Raw genomic sequence first — 24,821 nt, 5'->3', positions numbered from 1 at the left:
GCCAAGGTGTTTATAAAACATCTGAGGCTCTTATAACCTTCCTTGTCTTCTTTTTTACCAGAAAGTGATTTAATCTCTCATGTTTCTGAAGCAAGTTATGAGACTCAGAATTAACCGTATTTACGGGGTCCACATATGAGGGTCATTATCATGTCTCTAAGTTGTACCTAGGTATATGTAACAATTTATATTGTGGCTTATGAAATAGGCACGACAGCCAAGTACACTAAATGCTGAGCCAGAAATGTTCTAATATTCTCCTTGTAGGCATACTCCTGGCAGTAAAGTTGCATAAACTGGGGGTTACACCCAGATATATGGCACAATGCTCCTGTGGGCAGTTTCCAGACAGAAGAAGAGACTCATATCACCTAAATGCTAGGACCAGAGATATGCCGCAATGTCTCGTGTTGAAGGGACCAGGAAATGGAGTCATATCATTTGGATGGCATGATTAGAGATGCTGGAATCCCCAGTGGAAGGAGGGTTCAGACAGCAGAGGAGAGTAAGACAACTAGACGAGGGGTCCAAAGCCATGTTACAATCCTTCCTGAGGATATTCTTAAGACAGGAGAGTCAAATTGCCAAGGTGCTCAGCTGAGTAATATGTCCAAATCTCATTTGTGGGCAACATTTAGGCAAGATGATTAAGTCACTCAAGAGATGGGAAATAGACTATGTCACAATAACACTGGTGGAAAGTTTCAGCAATGGGAGTCACCATCTTTGATGTGACCTGGCTTCAGGTCTAACAGTCATGATTAGTCCTCTTGTTTGCTCTCAAGTATATGGCATGATATCGTCTATGGACAGAGAGCAAGCAGAAATGTCACATCACTTGTGAGGGTGCTGGTCCAGTGAGATGTCACAATCTTTCTTGTGGCCAGGACCCTGGAAGAAGAGGCATATCACCTGGAAGCTGGTTTCAGTGATATGTCAAAATTTCTTCTGTTGGGCAGGGCTTAAGAAGGTGAGGAGAATCACTTTACCTACATCTAGGCAATTGGCCTAGATATATGTCACAATGGCCACTAGGTGCAAAACCAAAGTATGAAAATGACCTCACCTTGGAGGTGGGTTTATCAATATGTCACAATCTCCCCTGTGGTCAGGGTGAGGTAGGAGAGTAGAAACATCACCTAAGTGCTAAGCCAAGTGATATGTTACAAAGCTTTCTGTTTGTAGAACCCAGAATGGAGTGTCACATTTTCTGAGTGTACTATCCAGTTATGTGTCACAATGCACCATAATTACAGGGCAAAGGCAGTGGAAGTGAGTCACGTCACTTACATGATGGACCTAGATAAAAGCCACAATGCTTTATATAGGCAGGAATCAAGCAAATAATACACATCTCCTGGCTGCTCATCCCAGTGATATGTAAAAGTGACATTTGTAGGCAGGCCCAGGCACCTTTGCTTAGGTTTTTGGTCCACATATGTCACAATTTCATCTCGGGTTATGGCCTAAAAAGGAGAGTCAAATTACTCAGGACCTGGGCTAACTTTTAAGTCCTAATCATACACCAGGAAATATTCTGAAGTAAGTTTCACAGCCCCACACAAGTCCTGGCTTTATGTATGAAAGTCAACACCTTCTGTGAGTTGGGTCGAAACAGAGGAGACACAATCTAAACAATGGGCATAATCCATGTAGAAGATGGCAATCCCACTTGATAACTGCATTCCAGGGGGAGAGTCCCAGCCTCACAGATGTGCTGAACCATGCAACCCCAAACCACCTGTGAGTCAGATCCACATATGAGAGGAACAATTTCAATCTTTTACTGCTCTTTTGGTGAGATTTAGTACTTTATTTGCAGGTTCTGTTCTTGTGAGAGAATGATAGTCGCGTCAGCTGGGTGTGAATCCAATAATCACAATAGCATTGGTTTGCTGTTCCCTGTTATAACACTCATTGTACTACTCACATTTTCTATGATACGCTGGGAGTGTCATAATACTGTGTGAACTTTATACCACTATGAGAACCATTACTTTGCTTGTGGCCATAAGAATGGCAATGAGAATCAAAATATCTCTCCTCTTTGGGTCCAGGTATGATAGTTGTATTATTGCATGGTATCTGAAGCTGGGTATATGACAAAATTTTACCTGCGGGCAGAAACAGAGCAGGAGAGTCTCATCACCTGGATGGTGAGCTCAGGATACATTATAATCTTAGAGAAACAGAGAAGACTCACATCACCTGGGTGCTGGACTCCGCAATATGTGATAATCCCTTGTTTTGGCAGACTCCAGAATAAAGAGGAGAGTTGCATTACCCAGTTTTTGCAGTCAGCGTTATGTCACAATTCTTTTAGTGGGCAGGACCTAGGCAGGAGAGAAGAATCACATTTCCTAGATGTTATCACCGATGATGTCACAATGTTCTTTGGTGAAAAAGCAGAAGCAAAATAGACAAATCACCCAAGAAATAGGCTCAGATATATGTGACAATATCCCTACTTGGCAGGATCAAGTAGTAAAAAGTCACATTATTGTGATTCTGACCCAACGATATGTCACAATGCACACATGGGAAACAAAGCAGTTTTTACACCTGGGTACTAGGCCCAATGATATGACAATATCTCCTCATCTTTTAGGGTGACACCTTTAACTGTTAACTCATATGTATGTAAGTCACATTGTCACGTGTGTGCTGGGCCATTGTATGATATCCTCTAGAACATCTGAGAGTTTTATACAACATGCGTGAGATTCACAAACTACTCTGAGGTCCACATGCTCATTTTGACTCTGAATATTATATATTGCCTTAAACCCAGATATGAGAGTCAGTATCTCTCATTTATGCTTAGTTCAGGAATGAGGCTTATTTTTATGCCTGTGAGCTGGGTCTAAAAATGAGTGATGGTTGCACCTGTGGCAAAATCCACAAATGAGAGTCACAATTCCATCTTTGTACTGTTTTACTTGTTAGACTCAGTATCTCAGCAATGGGCTTTCTTAATGAGGGGTGGTGACAAGTTTTACTTTCAATTGTGTGTGTAATTCAGAATCACAATCTTAACTTTTTGCTGGGCTTTGTTAGGAAACGCTGTACCACCCAAGGAGTTTATACAATATTAATTATTGTTCTGTGAGCTTTCCTCAAATACGCAACCCAGGATTTTACCTATTGCCCTAAGCCTTGCGATGAGAGGCAAAATATCTTCTATTTGCTGAATCACAATGTAAGTTTGACCATCATACCTGTAAACTGAAGCAAGGTATATTTTATAATCCCATTTGTGGGCAAAAAATTACCAAAAAGAGTAATGTCACTTAGGTGCTGTGGCACGCAGCATGTCACAGTGCTGTCTCTAGGCAGAATACAGAAAGCAGGGTCATGTTATCTGGATGCTGGACCTAGCAATATGACACAATTTTACTTGTTAAAAAAAGAAACTCAACCAAGGGATGAAAGCCAAAACACTTACAGATTTGGCTGAAGATATGTCAAAATGCCCTCTGTGGCTCTGGCACTGGTGGGACTGAAGCATCATTAGAGTGTTGGGCCTACCATTATGCAATCACTCCCTCATTATTCAGGACTGCAGCAGAAGAGTAACATCATCTGAGTGCAATAGGTGAAATTTTCCCTTTGTGGGCATGGTTCAGAAAAAAGGAAATAGTCACATAACCTAAATCCTGGTCTCAGAAATACATCACAATTTCAGCATTTTAAAGGCTGAGGCAAGGGAAGAGAGTCATATCACTTAGGTCATGGGCTTAGAAACATGTCCCAATGTCCCCAGTAGGCAGAAGTCAGGCAGAATTCAGGCAGAAGAGGAGAGTGGTGTCTCATTGGTGCTTCTTTAGGTGTATGTCTCAATCTAACACATGGGCAGAACCAGACAGAAGAGCCATATAACCTGGGTACTGGGTCCTAAGGTATGTTGCAAATCCCGATTAGTTCAGAACCAAGGTGAAAGAGTTACATCACCTTGGTTCAGGTTTCACTTTCATGTCACAATGCTCTATGTGTGTGAGGCCAAAGCATTTAGTCCCATAAACTAGTTTATTGGCCCAAGAGATAGGTCACAAAGTCCCCTGTGAAGCATAGTCTTGGCAAAAGAGTATCATCACCTGTGTGCCTGGCCTAGAAATATGTCATTCTCCAGGTTGTCAGGGCCCAAGCAGGAGAGCCGCTTAACCTAGGTAATAGGTGCAGAGATATGTCACAATGCCCTACTTTGGGCATGGCTGTGGCAAAAAGTACCCACAGCTGTATGCCTGGCTTCACAATATGTCACCATCCTTCCTTTGTGCAAGGCCCATTCCAGAGATCAGAGTTTCATCCCTATGAGGTGCACACACAAATATGTTCACAATAATTTTGGTTGGCGTGGCACAGGCAAGAATGTGAACATCACCTGGATGCTAGATCCAGTGATATGTACAATCCTTACTGAGAGAAGGGCCCAGGCAGGAGAGTCACATCTCCTTGAGGTTGGCCTAGGTAGATATCACAATCCCACATATGGGCTGGAACAAGTCTGGAGAGTCAAATTACACTGGTGCTTAGCAAAGATTTATATCACAATCACACTGTCAGAAAATTCCAAAGATGTGATTTACAATACCACACATGTCCTGTTTTCATGTGTGACAGTTGACTTCATCCATGAGAGATGATGACAGTCCTTACTGTCAGGCGGGTGTGCATACAAGACTCACAATTTCACCTGAGTTGAACCCTGCTTTGACTCTTTCTGTATAAACCAAAGACTCTGTAAAATGTGTGTGTTGTAATCTTTTGTGATGTTTGTACAAGAAAGTGATTCAGGACATCACGCATGTCCCTAAACTGAATTATAAGAGTAAAAATATTCTCTGTTGGATGAGTCCACATATAAGAGTCATTATTATTCCTGCAAGCCCTGCCTAGGTATTTGTTATAATTTGTTCTGTTGTTATGAATCAGGCCTAACAGCCACATCACCTAAATGCTGGGCCAGAAATATTCCAGTATTCTTTTTGCAGGAGGGGTCTTGTCCAAAATATCACATAACTTGTGTGCTAAATCCAACTCTGTTGCACAATGTTCATTTTGGGCTGTGTCTAGGCAGGAGAGGAGAGTCACAGGACCTAAAAGCTGGGCTCAAGCATGTGTCAAAATGCCTCTCAACAGGAGAGTTTCTCCAAAAAAAGAGAGCCATGTCATTTGAATGCAGTGTTTAGAAAAGGTACAATTACTATAGGAAGCAGGGTACAGGTCAAAGAGGAGAGTCATATACCCTAAATAATGGGTCCAGAAACATGTGACTATTTTGCCTGAGGACACTTTTTAGATAGCACAGTCAAATCACCAAGGTGCTTGATGAAGATATTTGTCAAAATCGCTTTTGTAGGCTATATCTAGGCAGAATTATTAAATCACTCAGGAACTGAAATACAATATATGTCACAATTACACTTGCGGAAAGGTTTAGGTATAAGACTCAACTGTGGGCTTTGTAAATGTGGGATGGTGGCAACTTTTAATTCCACCTGGGTGTGTAATCGAGAGTCCCAATTTGAACTTTTTGCTGGCCCCTGCTATAAAAATTTCTACCACAAAGGAGTTTATAAAATGTAAGTTAGTTGTGTAAGTTTCTGTGAGCTTGGTACAAATATGCAGCCCAGGACCTTATCTATTGCCCCAAGCCTAACAATGAAAGGCAAATATTTTCTATTGGCTGAATCCCAGTATAAGTTTGATCATCATGGCTGTGAGCTTAAACTGGGTATATGTTATAATGACATATGTGGGCAAAACACTACGCAGAAGGGTAACATCACTCAGATGCTGTGCCCAGCAATATGTCACAATGCCTTCTGTATGCAGGGTGTAGGAAATTGGGTCACGTTAACTGGGTGCTGGACCCAGAAATACGACACAATTTCACATGTGTAAGAAACCCAGCCCAGTTATGAGAGCCAAAACACCTACATAATGGGCATAATATATGTCAAAATACTTTCGGTATCAGCAGCACAGGCAGGAGCATCACATCTTAAGGGTGCTGGGCCCAGCAATATACAATATGCCATAATTATCTCTTTATGCAGATCCCATGCAGAAGAGTAACATGATCTGCATGCTGGGCAATAATATGTGTCAAATTTCTTTTTTGTAGGCATGGTTCAGGAGAAAGAGAAGAGAAACAGATCCTGAGTCCTGGGCTCAGCAATGTAACAAAATCCTCCTTTTATGAAGGCCCAGGAAGAAAAACAGAGTCACATCACTTAGGTCATGGGCTCAGAGACATGTCCTAATATTCCAACTAGGCAGAGCTCAGGCAGGTGAGGACAGCCGAGAGTCACATATCCTGAGTCCTGGGCTCAGCAATGTGACAAAATCCTCCTTTTATGAAGGCCCAGGAAGAAAAAGAGTCACATCACTTAGGTCATGGGCTCAGAGACATGTCCTAATACTCCAACTAGGCAGAGCTCAGGCAGGTGAGGACAGCCGAGAGTCACATATCCTGAGTCCTGGGCTCAGCAATGTGACAAAATCCTCCTTTTATGAAGGCCCAGGAAGGAAAAGAGAGTCACATCACTTAGGTCATGGGCTCAGAGATATGTCCTAATACTCCAACGAGGCAGAGCTCAGGCAGATGAGGACAGCCATATCACCTATGTGCTTCCATCAAAATATGTCACAATTTAACATGGGGGCAGAAACTATGCAGAAGAGCCACATCACTTGGGTGCTGGGTCCTGTGATATGTCACAAAGTGCTCTTAACACAGCACCTAGCTAAGAGAAATACATCATACTAGGTGAAGGGTCTCTGCTTATGACACAATGCTTCATCTGGTTAGGACCCAGGGAGAGAGTCACTTCATTTAGGTGATAGGCCCAGAGATATGTCACAATGTACTGTGTGAAGCATAGCCCTGGAAAAGGGTACCATCACCTGTGTGCCTGGCCTAGAAGCGTGTCACTTTCGAGGTTGGAAGGACCCTAGCAGGAGAGCCACATAATGTAGGTGATAGACCCAGAGATATGTCACATTGCCCTCCTCCAGGCATCCACAGGATAAGGAGGAACCTTGCCTGTGCGCCGGTCCTTGCGCTATGTCACTATCATTCTGTTGTGCAGTGCCCATTCCAGAGAGGAGACTCACATCAACTATGAGGTAAACACAGAAATATGTCACAATAATTTTGGTGGGCAGGGTGCAAGTAAGGATGTAACGTTACCTGGGAGCTAGGTCCAGTGATATGTCACAATCATTACTGAGAGATAGGACAAGGCAGGAAAGTCATGTCACCTCGAGGTTGGCCTAGGTAGATTTCATAACCCCACCTATGAGCTGGAACAAGTCCGGAGCCTCAGATTACACAAGTGCTTAGCAAAAATTTATATCATACTCACACTGTCAGAAAATTCCAAAGATGAGATTTACCATCTTACCACACATGCCCTGTTTCATGTGTGACAGTTACCTTTATCCATGTGAGATAATGAGTTCTTACTTTCAGCTGGGTGTGCAAACAAGACTCATGATTTCATCTGTGTGCTGAGCCCTGCTTTGACTTTGTGTGTATGACCCAAAGACTTTGTAAAATATGTATGAGTGTTGTAATATTTTGTGACCTTTGTACAAGAAGGAGATCCAGGACATCATGCATGTCCCTAAACTGAGTTATAAGATGCAAAATATCCTCTATTGGCTGAGTCCACACATGAGAGTCATTATCATGGCTGTGAGCCATGCATAGGTATATGTTACAATTCACTCTGTGGTTAAGAAGGAGGCCTGACAGCCATATCACATAAATGCTGGGTCAGAAATATTCCAATATTCTTTTTGTAGTCAGAGCCCTCTCAGAAATATCACATAACTTATGTGCTATGTCCAGCTCTATGGCTCAATATCCCTTGTGGACAGTGTCTAGGCAGGAGAGGAGAGTAATATCACCTAAATGATGGGCCCAAAATTTTGTCACAATTCTTCCTGTTGACAGGTCCCAGGCAAGAGTGTCATATCATTTGGATGCAGGGATTATAAATACTACAATCCACCAAAGAAGCAGGGTACAGGCAGGAGAGAAGAGTCACGTAACCTAGATGAAGGGCACAGAAATATGTTACAAGAGCCCCTGAGGACATTTCAAGATACATCAGCCAGATCACCAAGGTGCTTGACCAATGTATCTGTCAAAATCTCATTTGCTATACCTAGGCAGAATTATTAAATCACTCAGGAGTTGAGCAAAGGTATATGTCACAATCAGACTTGTGGAAAGGCTTAAGTCTAAGAGTCACCATCCTGCACAAGTCGTATGCTCTAGTCATATGAGTTGTTACTAGGCTTTTGTTTTGGTCTCTGGCACATGGCAGAATATCACCTGTGGCCAGAGAGAACACAAGAAAGTCCCATCACCTATGTGGGTCTGGGCCACTAAGACATCACTATTCACCTTGTGGGTAGGAACCTGGTGGAAGAGCCACAGCACCTGGATTTCAGTGACATATCAAAAGCCTCTCTTCTGGGCAGGGCTTTGGCAAGAGAGGAGACTCACTTCACAAAGGCAGTTGGCCTAGATGTTTGCCACAATGTCTATTCCGTGCAGTAACCAAACTGTAGAGTGGCCTCACATAGGTGTTTGTCCCAGGAAATATGTCACAATCTGCCTGTGGTCTGGGCCAAGGCGAAAGTGAAGAAACATCACCTAGGTACTGAGCCAAGTGATATGTTCAATGCTTCCTGTTGGCAGAACCCAAAAAGAAGAATCACATCACTTGAATGCAGTACCCAGTTCTTTGTCACAATGCCCTGTAAGTGCATGGCCAAGGAAGTAGAAGAGAGTCACATCACTTACAGGATGGACCTAGATATATAACAAAATTCCTTTTGTAGAAAGGTTTCAGGCAGATAACTCACATCATCTGGGTGATGGTCCCAGTGACATATGTAAAATTTCCCTTTGAAGGCAGAGCCACGATGGATGTTATCTATTGCTTAGCTGCTTGTTCCACATATGGCACAATTACTTCTGTGATCTGGGCCTAGAAAATGAGTCAAATTATTCATTTGCTGGACAAAGTGACCTATCCCAATATGACACTCTCATATATGTTCGGAAATAAGTTTCACATCCCACACAAGTCCTGGTTTTGTGTATGTGAGTCAATTCTTTCTGTAAGTTGGATCAAAATGGAGGAGTCAAAATCTCAACAATGGGCAAGATTCATGTATAAGAGCCGCAATCCCCCTTGAACATTGTGGTCCAGGAGGGGAGTCACGGCACCACAGGTGTGCTGAATCCTGGTTCAAATGTTAACAAACCACCTGTGGATCAGGTCCATGTAGGTGAGTAATTATTTCAAACATCGACTGCTTTTTATGTGTGAGATTTAGTCCCTCATTCCTAGACCCTGTTAATATGCGAGAATGACAATCATTTCAGTGAAGTGTGCATACAAGAGTCATATTCTTACCTGGTTGCTGGTCTCTGTTATGACACTCTTTGCACCATTAATGCTTTATATGATATACCTGAGTATTATAATCCTTCGTGACTTTTATACAAGTGAAAAACACAGGGCTTTACCCATGGCCGTGAGACTGGCTATGAGAGTCAAAATATTCCTACAGGCTGGGCCCAGGTATGAGAGTTATTTTTGTCCATGCGTGCTTAACCCAGGTACGTGTCAAAATTTCACCTGTAAGCAGAGACAAGGAAAGGGAGTCAACTCACCTCGACACTGAGCCAGTGATACAGCATAATCTCATTTGTATGCTGGGCCTAGTCAGAAGAGTCACTTCACCCGGGTACAGTTTCACATAATATGTCAGCAAGCCCACTATGGACAGGGAAGAAAAAAGAGAGGACAGTCAGTCCACCTATGTGCTGGACTCCGCAATATGTAACAACCCTCTCTCTTGGTAGAGTCTAGAATATGAAGGAGAGTCACATCATGTAGGTTTTTCAATCAGCGGTATGTCACAATTTGTTTGCTGAGCAAGGCTCAGGCAGGAGGTGAGAGTCACATTACCTAGATGTTAAGCCAAACAATATTTCACAATGTCTTCTGGGTGCAGGACACTGTCAGAAGAGACAAATCCTCTAGCTTATAGACCCATAGATATGTGATAATATCCCCTTTTGGCAGGGTCCAGACAGAAGAGACACATTATGATTCTAACACAGTGATATGTTACAATCCACCCAAGGAAAGGAATTTAAGCCAAATAGTCTCAACACCTAAGCACTATGCCTATTAATAGGCCAAATCCCCTTGTCTTTGAGAGTGACATTATAAACTCTGAGCTGGGTGTGTATATGAGAGTAACAATTTCACTAGTATCCTGGGCCGTTGCATGACTCTCAACAATTTTCAAAAGCTTTATACATCACGCATGAGAGTTTCAAACCACTCTAAGGCCTACATATTCACATGGATTCATGACCTTACATATTCCCCTAAACCCAGGTATAATAGTCAGCATCTCCTCTATAGGCTGGGTTAGAAATGAGACTCATTTTTATGCCTGTGAGCTGGATCTAGAAATAAGTCACAATCCCACCTGTGCCAGATCCACATACGAAAGTCACAATTCCAACTTTGCACTGCATTCATTTGTAAAACTCAGGTTCTTAACAATGGCCTTTGGACATGTAGAATGATGACAGCACTTGCTTTTACCTGGGTGTGTAATCAAGAATCTCAAACTGAACTCTTCACTGGTCCCTATCACCAAACTCTCTATACCAACAAAGAAGTTCATACATTATGAGTTAGTGTTGTAAAGCTCTGTGAGCTTGGTACAAATATGCAACCCAGACTTTATGTATTGCCCAAAGCCTAGCAATGAAAGGTAAAATATCTCCTATTGGCTGAATCTCAGTATAAATTTGACCATCATGCCTGTGAACTGAAGTCATAGTCCCATTTGTGAGCAAAAAAAGTAGGCCCGAGGGTAACATCACTTAGGTGTTGTGCCAAGCAACATGCCACAGTGCCCTCTCTAGGTAACATAGAGGAATTAGAGTCATGTTAACTGAGTTCTGGACTCAGCAATATGAAACAATCCATTATGTGGAAACAAACAAAAACAAAAGTGAAAAAAAAAAAAAAAAAAACAGCAAAAAGATAAGAGCCAAAACACCTACATAATGGGCCCAGGATCTGTGAAAATACCTTCTCTGCCTCCAGCAAAGTCATGAGTTTTATATTTTCAGGATGCTGGGCCCAGCAGTATGTTATAATATTCTCTACATACAGGACCCACGTAAAGGCGTAACATTATCTGGGTGCTGGGCCCTGCAATAGGCCAAAATTTCTGTTAGTGGGCATGATTTGAGATTAAAAAAAAAAAAGGTGAATCAAATAACCTGATTGCTAGGTTGAGCAATATTTCACAATCTCTCCATTGTAAAGACCCAGCAGAAAAAGAGAGTCACTTCCCTTAGTTCATGGGCTCAGAGATATAGTCCAGTGTACCCAGTGAACAGGGCCCAGGCAGAAAGGGAGACTCATATCACCTAAATGTTTCCCTAGTTATATGCCAAAAACCTTACCCACGGGCAGAAACCAGGCAGAAGAGCCACATCACCTGGGTACAACTGCAAGTAATATGTCACCATCCCCAGCATAGATAGGTTTCTTATAAAATTAGATAATGACACCACGTGGGTGCTCTGCTCACCAATATGTAACAATTCCCTCTCTTGACAGAGTCCAGGAAAAAAAGGGGACTTCTGTCACCTAGGCTCTGCACTCAATGGTATATGACAATTTTTTCAGTGAGGAGGATCCAGGCAGTAAAGATGGGTCAAATTTCCTAGATTCTAAATCCAGCAATATGTCAGTGTCTCCTCTGGGCAAAGTACTGGCAGGAGAGACATATTACATAGCCAATAGGCCTGGAGATATGGGAAAATATCCTCTGTTTGCAGGGCCCTGGAAGAAGAGTCACATTATTTTGATTCTGACCCAGTGATATGTAACAATGCCCTAATGGAATGAAATTTAAACTAAAAGTTCTCAACACCAGCTAGTAGGGCAAGATATATGACAAAATCTCCTCATCTTTAAGGGTGACACCATTAAATGTTAGCTATCTGTGTATAAGAGAGTCACAATCTCATGTGTGTGCTTGCCATTGTATGACACTCTCTATAATACCTGAGAACGTTATGCAACATGCATGAGAGTTGCAATCCTCTCTGAGGCCTACAGGCATTTACAGAATTATGATTATGCATATTGCCCTAAACCCAGGTATGACAGTCAGCATCTCTCCTATAGACTGGTGTTAGGGATGAGATCATTATTATGACTGAGAGTTGGCTCCAAAAATGAGTCACCATCCCACCTGCGGCCATATTCATTTATGAAAGTCACAACTCCATCTTTGTGGTGTATTTGCTTAGACTCAGGATCTCAACAATGGGCTTTGTAGATGTAGGATGGTAAAAACTTACTTTCATCTGAGTGTGCAGTCAAGAATCATAATCTTAACTGTTTGCTGGGCACTGTTAAGAAACCCTTTGTATCACCCAGGAAATTTTTATTACATGAGTTAGTGTTGTAAACTACTGTGAGCTTTGTAGAAATGTGCAATGAGTAACCTGACTCTTTGACCTAAACCTGGTGGTGAGAGGAAAAATCTCTCCTATTGGCTGAATCCCAACATAAGCTTGATCATCATACCTTTGGACTGAAGCAAGGTATTTCTCACATTCCCATTTTTTAGCAACCTATGCAGAATATTAACATCACTTAGGTTCTTTGTCAAGCAATATGTCATGATGCCCTCTGTAAGCAGCACCTAGGAAAGAGGGCCACATTAACTGCAGGCTGGAGTCAGCAATATAATACAACCACACGTGGAAGAAATTCAGCAAAGTGGTAAGAGTGAAAACACCTAGAAAATGGGCCAAAGATATGTCGAAATACCTTCTGCGGTCCTGGCACAAGCAGGAGAGTCACATCATTAGGGTTCTAGGCCAAGAAATATGCCACAATTTTCTCTTTATGCACAACCTAGGCAGAAGAGCAGCTTCATCTGGGTACTGGGCCCTGAAATACGGCAAAAGATCTGTTCCTGGGCGTTGTTCAGTTACAAGATGAGAGTCACATTACCTAAATGCTGAGCTCATCAATATCTCATAATCTTACCATTGTAAAGCCCTAGACAAAAATAGAGTCACATCACTTAGGTCACAGGCTTAGAAATATGGCCCAATATCACCAGTAGGCTGGGTTCAGACAGAAGAAGAGTCATATTACCTAGATGCTTCTTTAGCTATATGTCACAATTTAATATGTGGGTGAAAACCAGGTTGAAGAGCCACATCATGTGGTCCTGGGTACTGAGGTATTCACAAGTCCCTCTTAGAAAAGGACCCAGGCAAGAGAGTTATGTCACCTAGGTGCAGATTCCACGCTTATGTCTCAATACTTCATGTGGGCAGGACCAAGCAGGAAGTCACATCACCTTGGTGATAGGACCAGGTATATATGACAAGGCATTTTTGAAAGCATGGCCCTGGCAAAAGAGTTCCATCACCATTGTGCCTGGCCTAGCAGTATGTCACTATTCAATTGGGCAAGTTTCAAGCAGAAGAGCCGTATCACCTACACGATAGGTCCTGTGATATGTCAAATGCCCTTTTTTGGGCATAGCCCTGGGAAAAGAGCATCATCACCTGTGTGCCTGGCCTAGAAACAGGTCACTATTTTGCCCAGTGTTCAAGGCCCTTTCCAGAGAGGAGAGTGACATCTTCTAACTGATGGACACTGCAATATGTCACAATGATATCTGCGAGCATGGCGCAAGCAAGAATGTAACGTCACCTGTGTGCTGGATCCAATGATGTTATAATTCTGAGTGGAGGGCCCAGGCAAAAGAGTCACGTCACTTCAAGGTTGGCTTAGGTAGATACCAAAATCCCATAGGTAGGCTGGAACCAATCTGAAGGGTGAACTCACACAGGCACTTGGCAAAGATTTATATCAGTCATGATGGAATAAAATTCTAGGGATTAGATTTACAATATCAGGCGTGTTCTATTTTTATGTGGGACAATTGCCTTCATCATCTGTAATGGTGAAAGCCGTTACTGTCAGCTGAATGTACATATGAGAATCCCAATTTTCTCCATGTGCTAGGCCCTGTTATGACTCTCTCTATACGACACAAGGATGTTATAAAATATGTGTGAATGTTGTAATCTTCTGTGACCTTTTTACCAGAAGGAGATGCTGGATATCACTTATCTCCCTAAGCCTAGTTATAAGAGTCAAAATGTTTCCTATTGGCTGGGTTCACATATGAGAGTCCTTATCATGTATTTTAGATGTGTCTACAGATACGGCGCCATCTCATCTGTGGTAATTAAACAGGCAGAAAACGACATCACCTAAATCCTAAGCCAGAAATACCCCAACTTTATTTTGTAGAGAGGGCCCTAACAGAAATATGACAAAACTTAGGTGCTAGACTCAGCTCTATGGCATAATGCCCTTTGTGGAGTGTGTCCAGGCAGTAGAGGAGAGTCATATCACCTAAATGAAGGGCCCAGAGAGATATCACAAAGCCCCCCCTTTAAAAAGCCCAGACAAGAGACTCATGTCATTTGGGTGCAGTGCTTAGAAATGCTACTCTTCACTGGAAGCAGGGTTCATGCAGAAGAGGAGAGTCATGTAACCTAGACAATGGCTCCAGAGATATGTTATGATCACTTCCGAGAACCTGTTAGGACACAAGAGTAAAATCACAAAGGTTCCTGGGAAAGGTGTAGGTCCAAATGTCATCTGCGGGCTATAACAAGGCAGGATTATTAAATCACTCAGGAGCTGGGTAAAGGTGTATGTCACAATAGTACCTGTGAAAATCTGGGGCAGGGATGAGAGTAATGATCCTGTCCTGCACGTGTCCTGGCTCTGGGGACAAGCGTCATCATTAGGCTTTTTATCTGGTCTCAGGTAAATGGAACAATATCACCTGTGGGCAGAGAGAAAAAGGAAAGTTCCATCACCTTAGTGGATGCTGGTCCAGTGAAATGTCTCAATTGTCCTTGTGGCTAGGACTCTGATAGAAGAGTCACATCATCCGGATGCTGGTTTCAGTGACATATAAGATCCCCCCTGTGAGCAGAACTTAGGCAGGAGAGAAGACAAACTTCACTTAGGCAATTGGCCTGAATATACGTCACAATGGCCCCTATGTGTAGGATCAAGGCAGGGGAGTAACCCTCGCTTTGGTGCTAGGTTCAGCAACATGTCACAATCTCTCTGGCGGTCAGGGCACAGGCAAGAGAAAAGAAATATCACCTAGTCGCTGAGCCAAGTAATACGTTACAAAGCTTCCTACTGGCAGAAACTTCATTCTCCAAAAAAGTCACATCACCTGGGTGCAGTACCTAGTTACGTGTCACAATCCACCACCAGAAGTGCAGGGCCAAGACAGTAGAAGGAAGTCATGTCACTTAAGTAATCAACTTATATAAAAACCACAGTGCTCTCTGTAGGCAGGCCTCAGGCCAAGATTTTACATCAGCCAAGTGCTGATCTCAGTGATATGTAAAAGTGCCCTATGTTTCATTACCAAAAAAGATGTTACTTATTGCTTAGGTGCTTGGTGCATGTAAGTCACAATTTCAACTGTGCTCTGGGCCTAGAAAGGAGAGTCAAAACACTCAGATTCTGTGCAAAGTTATACTTCTCAGTTACACACTCAAAAATGTTCAGAAATAAGTTTCACAGTCCCACACAAGTCCTGGATTTGGGTATGAGAGTCAACACCTCCTATAAGTTGGGTTGAAGTACAGGTGTCACAATCTCAAAAATAGGAAAGATCCACATAGAAGAGTCTCAATCCCACTTGAAGATTGTGTTCCAGTAGGAAAGTCAAAGTACCACAGTTTGACTAAATCATAGTTCAAACATCACCAAATCACCTATGGATCAGATTCGTGTATGAGAGTAACAATTTCAAGCTTCAACTGCTTATGTGTGTGAGATTTACTACCTCATTTGTAGGCTCTGTACATGTGTGAAGATGAAAATCATGTCAGTTGTCTATGCATCCAAGAGTCACAATGGAACCTGGTTGCAGGTACCTGTTATGAAACTCTTTGTAACATTCAGGCTTTATATGATATGCCTGAGTAGTATAATTTCCCGTAAATTATTACAGGTGGGAGATCTAGGACTTTACCCATGGCCTTAAGACTGCCTGTGAAAGTCAAATATCTCCCACTGGCTAGGTCTAGGTATGAGAGTTATTATTGTGCTGAATCCAGTTATTATATGAGCTGAATCCAGGTATACATCACAATTTCACCTTTGGACAGAGACAAGAGAGAAGAGTTACATTATCTGGTTGCTGAGCAAGGGATACGTTATAATTTCCTTTTTAGTCAGGACCCAGTCAGAACAGTCATATCACCTGGATACAGTCTCAGATAATATTATCATGACCACTAAACCCTGGATTGAAAAATAGAGGATTGTCACGCCCCTAGGTGATGGGCTCAGCAATATTTTATTATTTCCTCATTAGCAGAGTTCAAGACAAAGCTCACTGGCAGAGTCCAAGACAAAGAAGAGAGTCACATCACCTAGGTTTTGCACTCAGTGGTATGTCAAAATTTCTTCAGTGGCCAGAATCCAGGCAGGAGTGGAGAGTCACATTACCTAGATACTATAGTGATATGTCCCAGTGTCCACTGTGGCAGGGCACTGGCATGAGAGACACCACATCACCTAGCTGATAGGCCCAGAGATACGTGATAATATCCCCTGTTGGCTGGGTCCAAGAAGAAGTTTCACATTATTAGGATTCTGACCCAGTGATAATTCACAATGCACCTATGGGCAAAATTTAAGCCCTAATTCTCAACACTTGGTTACCAGGCCTAGTGATAAGACACACTCTCCTCATCTTTTAGGGTGACACCTTTAACTTTCAGCTAAGGTTGAATATTAGAATCACAATCTCACATGTATGCTGGGCCAATGTATGACACTCTTTACATCCGAGGGCTTTATAAAACCTGCATGAGAGTTGTAAACCTCTCAGCGACCTGCATGCTCATATGGGTTCACAATTTTACACATTGCCCTCAATTCAGATTTGATAGTCAGCATCTCTTTTATATGTAGGGTTAAAGGAGAAGACCCATTATTATCCCACCTCCAGACAGATCCACATATAAATTCACAATTGCAACTTTGTGCCGTATTCCACAGTGGGCATTGTATATGTAGGATGGTGACAACTTTTAATTTTACTGGGGTGTATAATCAGTACTCCAAATCTGAACTTTCTACTGGGCCCTGTTATGAAAGTTTTTACCACCAATGAGTTTATACAATATAAGTTAGTGTTGTAATCTTTGGACTTTGTACAAATATGCAACTCTCTGTGTACAAATATTACTCTCTGTGGTTATGAAGCAGGCAGAACAATCACATCACCTAAATTCTTGGCCAGAAATATTCCAATATTCTCTTTGTAGGCAGGATCCTGTAGAAATGCCACATAAATTGTGTGCTAGATCCAGCTTGGTGGCACAGTGTCCCTTATTGGCAGTGTCCAAGCAGGAGAGGAGAGCTGCCATATCAGGTAAATGATGGAACCCAAAATATGTCACTATGCCTCCTCTTGACAGGGCCCAGGCAAGAGAGTCATATCATTTGGATACAGTGTTTAGAAATGATACAGTTACCAAAGAAAATCATGTACAGGTGGGAGAGAACAGTCATGTAACCTATGTGATGGGCCAGAAATACGTTACAGTCACGCCTGTGGATATTATTAAGATAACACAGTCAAATCATGAAGATGCTTATACCAAGGATTTGTCAAAATCTCATTTTGATGCTATACCTATGCAGAATTATTAAATCACTAAGGAGCTGGGTAAAGGTATATGTCACAGTTACACTTGTGTATCGCTTTAAGACTAAGAGTCACCATGCTGCACATGTCCTGGCTCCAGATATATGTGTTGTTATTAGGCTTTTATTTATGGTCTCTTGTATAAGGCACAATATCGGCAGTGGCCAGAGAGAAGAGAAGAAAATCTCATCAGCTACATGGGTGTGGATTCAGTGAGAAGTCACAGTCTACCTTGTGGACAGGACCCTGGCAGAAGAGTCAAATCACCTGGATGCTGGTGTCAGTGAAATATCAAAACCTCTTCTCTGGGCAGGATTTTTGCTAGAGAGGACACTCACTTCACTTGGGCAATTGGCCTAGCTATTTGTCACAATGCTTCTTATGTGCATTACCAAGGCTGGAGAGTGACCTCACAAGGGTGCTGGACCCAGAAATATGTCACAATCTCCCTGTGGTCAGGGCGAGGACAATGCGAGGAAACATCACCTACATTCTGAGCTAAGTGATATGTTACCATGTTCCAGTTGGCAGAACGCAAAAAGGACAATGATCTCCTGGACACAGTTTCTGCTTATGTGTCAAAATGCACTGTAAGGGCAGGGCCAAGGCAGTAGAAGGGAGTCACTTCAATTCATGGTGGATGTAGATATAAAACACAATTCCTCTTGTAGGCAGGTTTTAGGCAGATAATTCACATCACCTGGGTGATGGTCCCAGTGATATATGAAAGTGCCCTTTGCAGACAAGGCCAAAGAAGGTATTACATATTTCTTAGGTGCTTGTTCAACATAGGGCACTATTTCATCCGAGTTCTGGGCCTAGAAAAGAGAGTCAGATTATTCATGTGCTGGACATGGTTACCTGTCCAAATCACACTCTCAGATATGCTTGGAAATAAGTTTCACATGCCACACAACACCTAGTTTCCTGTACCTGAGCCAACTCTTTCTATGAGGTAGATCTTAGTAGAGGAGTCACAATCTCAACAATGGTCAAGATTCATGTATAGGAGCCCCAATCCCCCTTGAAGACTGTGTTCCAGTAGGGAAGACACAACACCACAGGTGTGCTGAATCATGGTTCAAACTTTACCAAACCACCTGTGAATCAGATCTATGTGTAAGAGTAATTATTTAAACATTTGACTGTTTTTTTATGTGTGAGATTAGTATCTCATTCCTACGCCCTGTTCATGTGTGAGAATGACAATCATGTCAGCTGGGTGTGCATTTAAAAGTCCCATTCTCACTTCATTTCTGGCCTCTCTTATGACACTCATTGTACAATTAAGGCTGTATATGATATACCCGAGTGTTATAATCCTTTGTGAACTTTATACAGTTGAAAAACTCAGGACATAACCCATTGTCGTGAGACTGCCTATGAGAGTCAATTATCTCTACTGGCTGGGTCCAGGTATGAGAGTTATTATTCTGCATGTGTGCTTAACCCAGATATATGTCAAAACTTGGCCTGTGAGCAGGGACAAGAAAGGAAAGTCACATTACCTGGGTGTTGAGCCAATTATACAGTGTAGTATTATTTGAAGGCTGGGCATAGTCAGAAGTGTCAGCTTTATGCTGGTCCAGTGATACAATATAATCTTGGTGATGTGACAGCCTCAAAGATTATGTCACCAAGCACACTATTGCCAGGAAAAAAAGAAAAAGAGGAGTGTCACTCTACTCTACCTCAGTGCTGGGCTTTGCAAACTGTAATAATCTGCTGGCTTGGAAGAGTCTAGAATATGAAGGAAAGCCACATCACATAGATTTTGCAATCAGTGCTATGTCACAACTTCTTTGGTGAGCCACACCCAGGCAGGAGAGTAGAATCACGTGACCCAGATGTTAAGTTAATATTTTCCAATGCCTTCTGGGGGCAGGGAACATGCAGGAGAGAAAAATTCCCCTACTTATAGGTCCAGAGATATGTGATAATATCCCCTGTTGGCAGGGTCCAGACAGAAGAGTCACATTACAATGATATGAACCCAGTGATACGTCACAGTGCACCTGTGGGAAAGAATTTATGCCAAAATGTCTCAACAGGTGGGTACATGGCCTAGTAATATACCAAATTTTGTTGCCTTTGAGGGTGACACCATTAACTGTGAACTGACTGTCTACATGAATATAACAATTTCATGTGTTTCCTGGGCTGTTGATTGACACTCTGTGACATTTGAAGGCTTTATACAGCATGCGTGAGAGTTGCAAACCACTCTGAGGCCTACATGTTTGTATGGATTCATGATCTTACATATTACCCTAAACTCAGGTATAATAGTCAACATCTCTTCTGCAGTTTGGGTTCAGGGATGAGACAGTTTATTATGCCTGTAAGCTGGATCCAGAAATGAGTCACCATCCCACCCGTGGCCAGATCCACATATGAAGGTCACAATTCTGATGTTGTACTGTATTCACTTGTTAGACTCAAGACCTTAACAGTGAGGTTTGGACATATGGAATAGTGACAACGTTTGCTTTTACTTGGTTGTGTAATCGAGAGTCCCAATCTGAATTTTTGCTACTCCCTGTCATGAAACTCTCTGTACTCCACACATTTATACATTATGAGTTAGTGTTGTAAAGGTCTTTGAGTTTGGTACAAATATGCAACCCACAACCTCACCTATTTCCCTTGTTCTAGTGATAAAAGGCAAAATATCTCCTTTGGCTGATTCCCAGTGTAATTTAGACCATCATGCCTGTGAACTGAAGTAAGGTATATGTCATAATCCTATTTGTGGGCCAAAACTAGGCAGGGGTGTAACATCACTGTGCTGTGCCAAGCATCATGCCACAATGCCATCTCTAGGCAGCGTATAGGAATTAAGTCATATTAACTGGGTACTGGACACAGCAATATGACACAATCCCATATGTAGAAAAAGAACAGGCAAAAAATCAGAGCCAAGACATCTACAGAATAAGCTCAGTATATGTCAAAATGCCTTCTGTAGCTGCAGGAAAGCATGACAGTCACATTTTTAGTGTGCTATTATTATATATTAGTATATGCCATAATTCTCCGTGTACGCAAAATCCAGGCAAAAGAGTAACATTATATGTGTGCTGAGCCCTGCAATAGGTCAACATTTCTGTTTGTTTGCATGGTTCAAGAGAAATAGCTGTCAATAAATCTGAGTGCTGGGCTCAGCAATATGTCACAATGCCGTCACTGCAAAGACCAGACTGAAGAAGAGAGTCACTTCACTTAGGTCTTGGGCTCAGAGATAGATCCCACTCTCCCAGTAGGGCAGGGCATGGGCTGAAAAGGAGAGTCATATACCTAGGTGCTTTCCTAGTTGTATGTCACAATCTAACATGTGAGCAGAAATCAGGCTGAAGAGCCACATCACCTGGGTAGACCCTCAGGTAATATGTCACCATGCCCAATGTAGACAGATTTGATGAAAAATAAAAGTAAAAAAAGAATCACAACACCTGGGTGCTGGGCTCAGCAATATGTAGAAATTCCCTGTCTTGGCAGAGTCCAGGACAAATAGGAGAGTCATGTCACCTAGGTTTTGCACTCAGTTGTATGTCACAATTTATTTGGTGGACAGGTTCCAGGCAGGAGTATTACCTAGATGCTGTATCTAGTGATATATCACAATGTCCCCTGTGGGCAATGCACTAGCAGGAGAGACATATCACCTGGCCAATAGGCTTGGGGGTGTGTGAAAATATCCCCTGTTTTCAAGGCCATTATCATTATTCTGACCCAGTGATATGTGACAATGCCCTTTTGGAAAGGAATTTAAACAAAAATGTCTCAACACTGGGGTATGACGCCAAGTGATATGACACAATCTCTTCACCTTTAACGGTGACACAATTAATGGTTAGCTAGTTGTTTATATGACAGTCACAATCTCATGTGTGTGCTGACCCTTGTATGACATTCTCTGCAATATCTGAGAACACTATACAACATGCCTGAGAGTTGAAAACCTCTCTGAGGCCCACATGCTTATATGAACTCATGATCTTACATATTGCCCTAAACCAAGGTATGACTCTCAACATCTCTTCTCTAGGCTGGCTTCAGAGATGAGACTGTTTTTAAGCCTGTGACCTGGGACCAGATATGTATGAGTCACCATCCCACCCGTGACAAGATTAGCTTTTGAAAATCACAACTCCAACTTGGTCCTGTATTCACTTGTTAGACTCAGGACCTTAACAATGAGATTTGTAAATGTGAGAAGATAACAACTTTTACTTGCATTTGAATGTGTAGTGGAGATTCACAATCTCAATTTTTTGTTGGGATCCGTCATAAATATCTCTGTACCACCCAGGAAGGTTTTATGATATGAATCAGTGTTGTAAGTTTCTCTGAGCTCTGTATAAATATGCAATGAAGGGACTAACTTATTGATGTAAACCTAGCAATGCAAGGCAAAATATCTCCTGTTGGCTGAATCCCGATATAAGCTTGATCATCATGTTTTTGAACTGAATCAAGGTATCTGTCATAACCCCATTTGTGGGCAAAATCTAGGCAGAAGGTTAACATCACTTAGGTGCTGTTCCAAGCAATATGTCACAATACTCTACCTAGGCAGGGCCTAGGAAAGAGGGTCACATTAACTGGGGGCTGGAACCAGCAATATGCTACAACAACACGTGGAAGAATACCAGCAAAGTTATGAGAGCCAAAACACGTACAGAAAGGGAACAAGATATATCAAAATACCTTCTGTGGCTCTGGCACAAGCAGGAGAGTCATATCATTACGGGACTGGGCCAAGCAATATGCCCTAATTCCCTCTTTACGCATGACCTAGGCAGAAGAGTAACATCATCCAGGTGTTGGGCCCTGAAATACAGCAAAAGTCTTGTTTGTGGGGGTTGTTCAGCAACCAGACAAGACTTACGTTACCTAAGTGCTGGGCTCATTAACATTTCACAGTCTTCTTATTGTCAAAGCGCAGACAGAATAAGAGAGTCACATCATATAGGTTATGTGCTCAGAGATATGGCCGAATGTCACCAGTAGGCAGGGATCAGGCAGAAAAAGAGAATCATATCACCTAGGTGCTTCTTTAGGTATATGTCACACTTTAATATGTGGGAAAAAACAAGGCTGAATACCATATCACATGGTCCTGGGTCCTGAGATATTCACAAGCCCCCCTTAGAAAAGGACCCAGTCAAGAGAGTTACATCACCTAAGTGCAGGTTCCACACATATGTCACAATGCTCCATGTGGGCAGGGTCAAGCAGGAAGTCACATCACCTAGGTGATAGGCATAGAGATATGTCACAAAGCTTTTCTTTTCTTTCTTCCTTTTTTCTTTTTTTTTTGAGATGGAGCCTCGCTCTGTTGCCCAGACTGGAGTGCAGTGGCACGATCTCGGCTCACTGCAAGCTCCGACTCCTGGGTTCACGCCATTCTCCCACCTCAGCCTCCCAAGTAGCTGGGACTTCAGGCACCTGCCATGGCACCTGCCTTATTTTTTTGTATTTTTAGTAGAAATGGGGTTTCACCGTGTTAGCCAGGATGGTCTCGATCTCCTCACCTCGTGATCCACCCGCCTCGGCCTCCCAAAGTGCTGGGATTACAGGTGTGAGCCACCATGCCCAGCCATAAAACTTTTCTTAAAGCCTGTCCCTGGCTGAACAGTACCATCACCTTTGTGTCTGGCCTAGCAATGTGTCACTATGCAGGTGGGCAGATCCCAAGCAGAAGAGTCATATTACCTGCATGATAGGCCCTTTGATATGTCAAAATGCCTTCTTTTGGGCATGGCCCTGGCAAAAAAAAAAAGTATCATCACCTGTGTGCCTGGCCTATGAATATGTGACTATCCTATCCTATGTGCAGTGCCCATTCCAGAGAGGAGAGTTACATCTTTTAAGTGACGGACACAGTAATATGTCACAATGATGTCTGTGTCATGGTGCAGTCAAGAATATAACATTACCTGGTTACTGCATCCAGTGATGTCAAAATTCTTACTGAGAGCAGGGCCCAGGGAGAAGAGTCAAACCACTTCAAGGTTGGCCCTGGGAGATCTCAAAATTTTATATGTAGGCTTCAACCAGTCTTAAGAATGAAATCACAATGGTGCATGACAAAGATTTGTATCAGAGTCATGATGGAATAAAATTCTAGAAATTAGATTTACAATACCACACATGCCCTATTTTCATGTAGAAGAGTTGCCTTCATCCGTCTATGATGGTGAAAGTTCTTGCTGTCAGCTGGGTTTGCATATGAGACTGACAATTTTCTCGGTGTGCTAGGCCCTGTTATGGCATTCTTTATACAACACAAGGGTGTAACAAAACATGTGTGAGTGTTATAGTCTTCTGTGACATTTTTACCGGGAAGAGATCATTGACATCACTTATGTTCCTAAACCTAGTTATAAAAGTCAAAATTTCTCCTATTGGCTGGGTTCACATATGACAGTCACTATCATGGCCGTTAGTTGCGCCTAGGTATATGCTACCATGCTCTCTGTGGTTATTAAATGGGCAGAAAAACCACATCACCTAAACCATGAGCCAAAAATGTTCCAATATTTTATTTGCAGGAAGGGCCATAACAGAAAAGCCACAAAATTTGGTCATAGGCCCAGGTCGTTGGCATAATGTCCTTGCTGGAGAGTGTCCACACAGGAGAGGAGAGTCATATAACCTAAATGATGGGCCCAGAGAAATGTAACAATGCCTCCTATTGAAAGGGCCCAGGCAAGAGGGTCATGTCATTTAAATGCAGTGCTTAGAAATGCTACACTCTTCACTGGAAGCAGGGTTCATGCAGGAGAGAAAAGTCAAATACCCTAGATGATGGGTCCAGAGATTTGTTACGATCCCTTCTGAGGACACTGCTAAGACAGGGAAGTCAAATCACCAAGGTTTTTGGCCAATGTATATATCAAACTGTTATCTCTGGGCTATAAATAGGCAGGATTATTAAATCACTCAGGAGCTTGGCAAAG

At 42.4% G+C, this 24,821-nt stretch overlaps 1 protein-coding gene across 1 annotated transcript; it reads right to left on the bottom strand.

Moving 5' to 3' along the window:
• On the bottom strand, positions 1,793–22,995 carry BPY2 (basic charge Y-linked 2). Its single transcript, NM_004678.3, has 9 exons — positions 22,965–22,995; positions 22,567–22,689; positions 19,365–19,501; positions 14,837–14,955; positions 12,660–12,777; positions 9,701–9,806; positions 8,884–9,008; positions 2,209–2,333; positions 1,793–2,114 (listed from the first exon to the last, which is right to left on the bottom strand). Exons 4-7 carry the CDS (start codon positions 14,912–14,914, stop codon positions 8,990–8,992), a joined length of 321 nt encoding a protein of 106 aa, NP_004669.2. The 5' UTR covers positions 14,915–14,955; positions 19,365–19,501; positions 22,567–22,689; positions 22,965–22,995; the 3' UTR covers positions 1,793–2,114; positions 2,209–2,333; positions 8,884–8,989.

Source organism: Homo sapiens, chromosome Y (assembly GCF_000001405.40).
Source record: "Homo sapiens chromosome Y, GRCh38.p14 Primary Assembly".
Taxonomy (NCBI): Eukaryota; Metazoa; Chordata; class Mammalia; order Primates; family Hominidae; genus Homo; species Homo sapiens.
This window is presented reverse-complemented; position numbering and strand designations above follow the sequence as displayed.

What these genes read in the sequence shown, in the direction of transcription:
- BPY2 (NM_004678.3), bottom strand. Translation starts at nt 14,914, where the DNA reads ATGATGACGCTTGTCCCCAGAGCCAGGACACGTGCAGGACAGGATCAT. An exon ending in CCTGCCCCAGATTTTCACAG is followed by an intron (nt 12,778 to 14,836) that starts GTACTATTGTGA and finishes CCTCTTTCCTAG; the next exon opens with GTGCTGCTTACAGAGGGCAT. An exon ending in TACCTTGCTTCAGTCCAAAG is followed by an intron (nt 9,807 to 12,659) that starts GTATGATGATCA and finishes CCCTGTCCATAG; the next exon opens with TGGGCTTGCTGACATATTAT.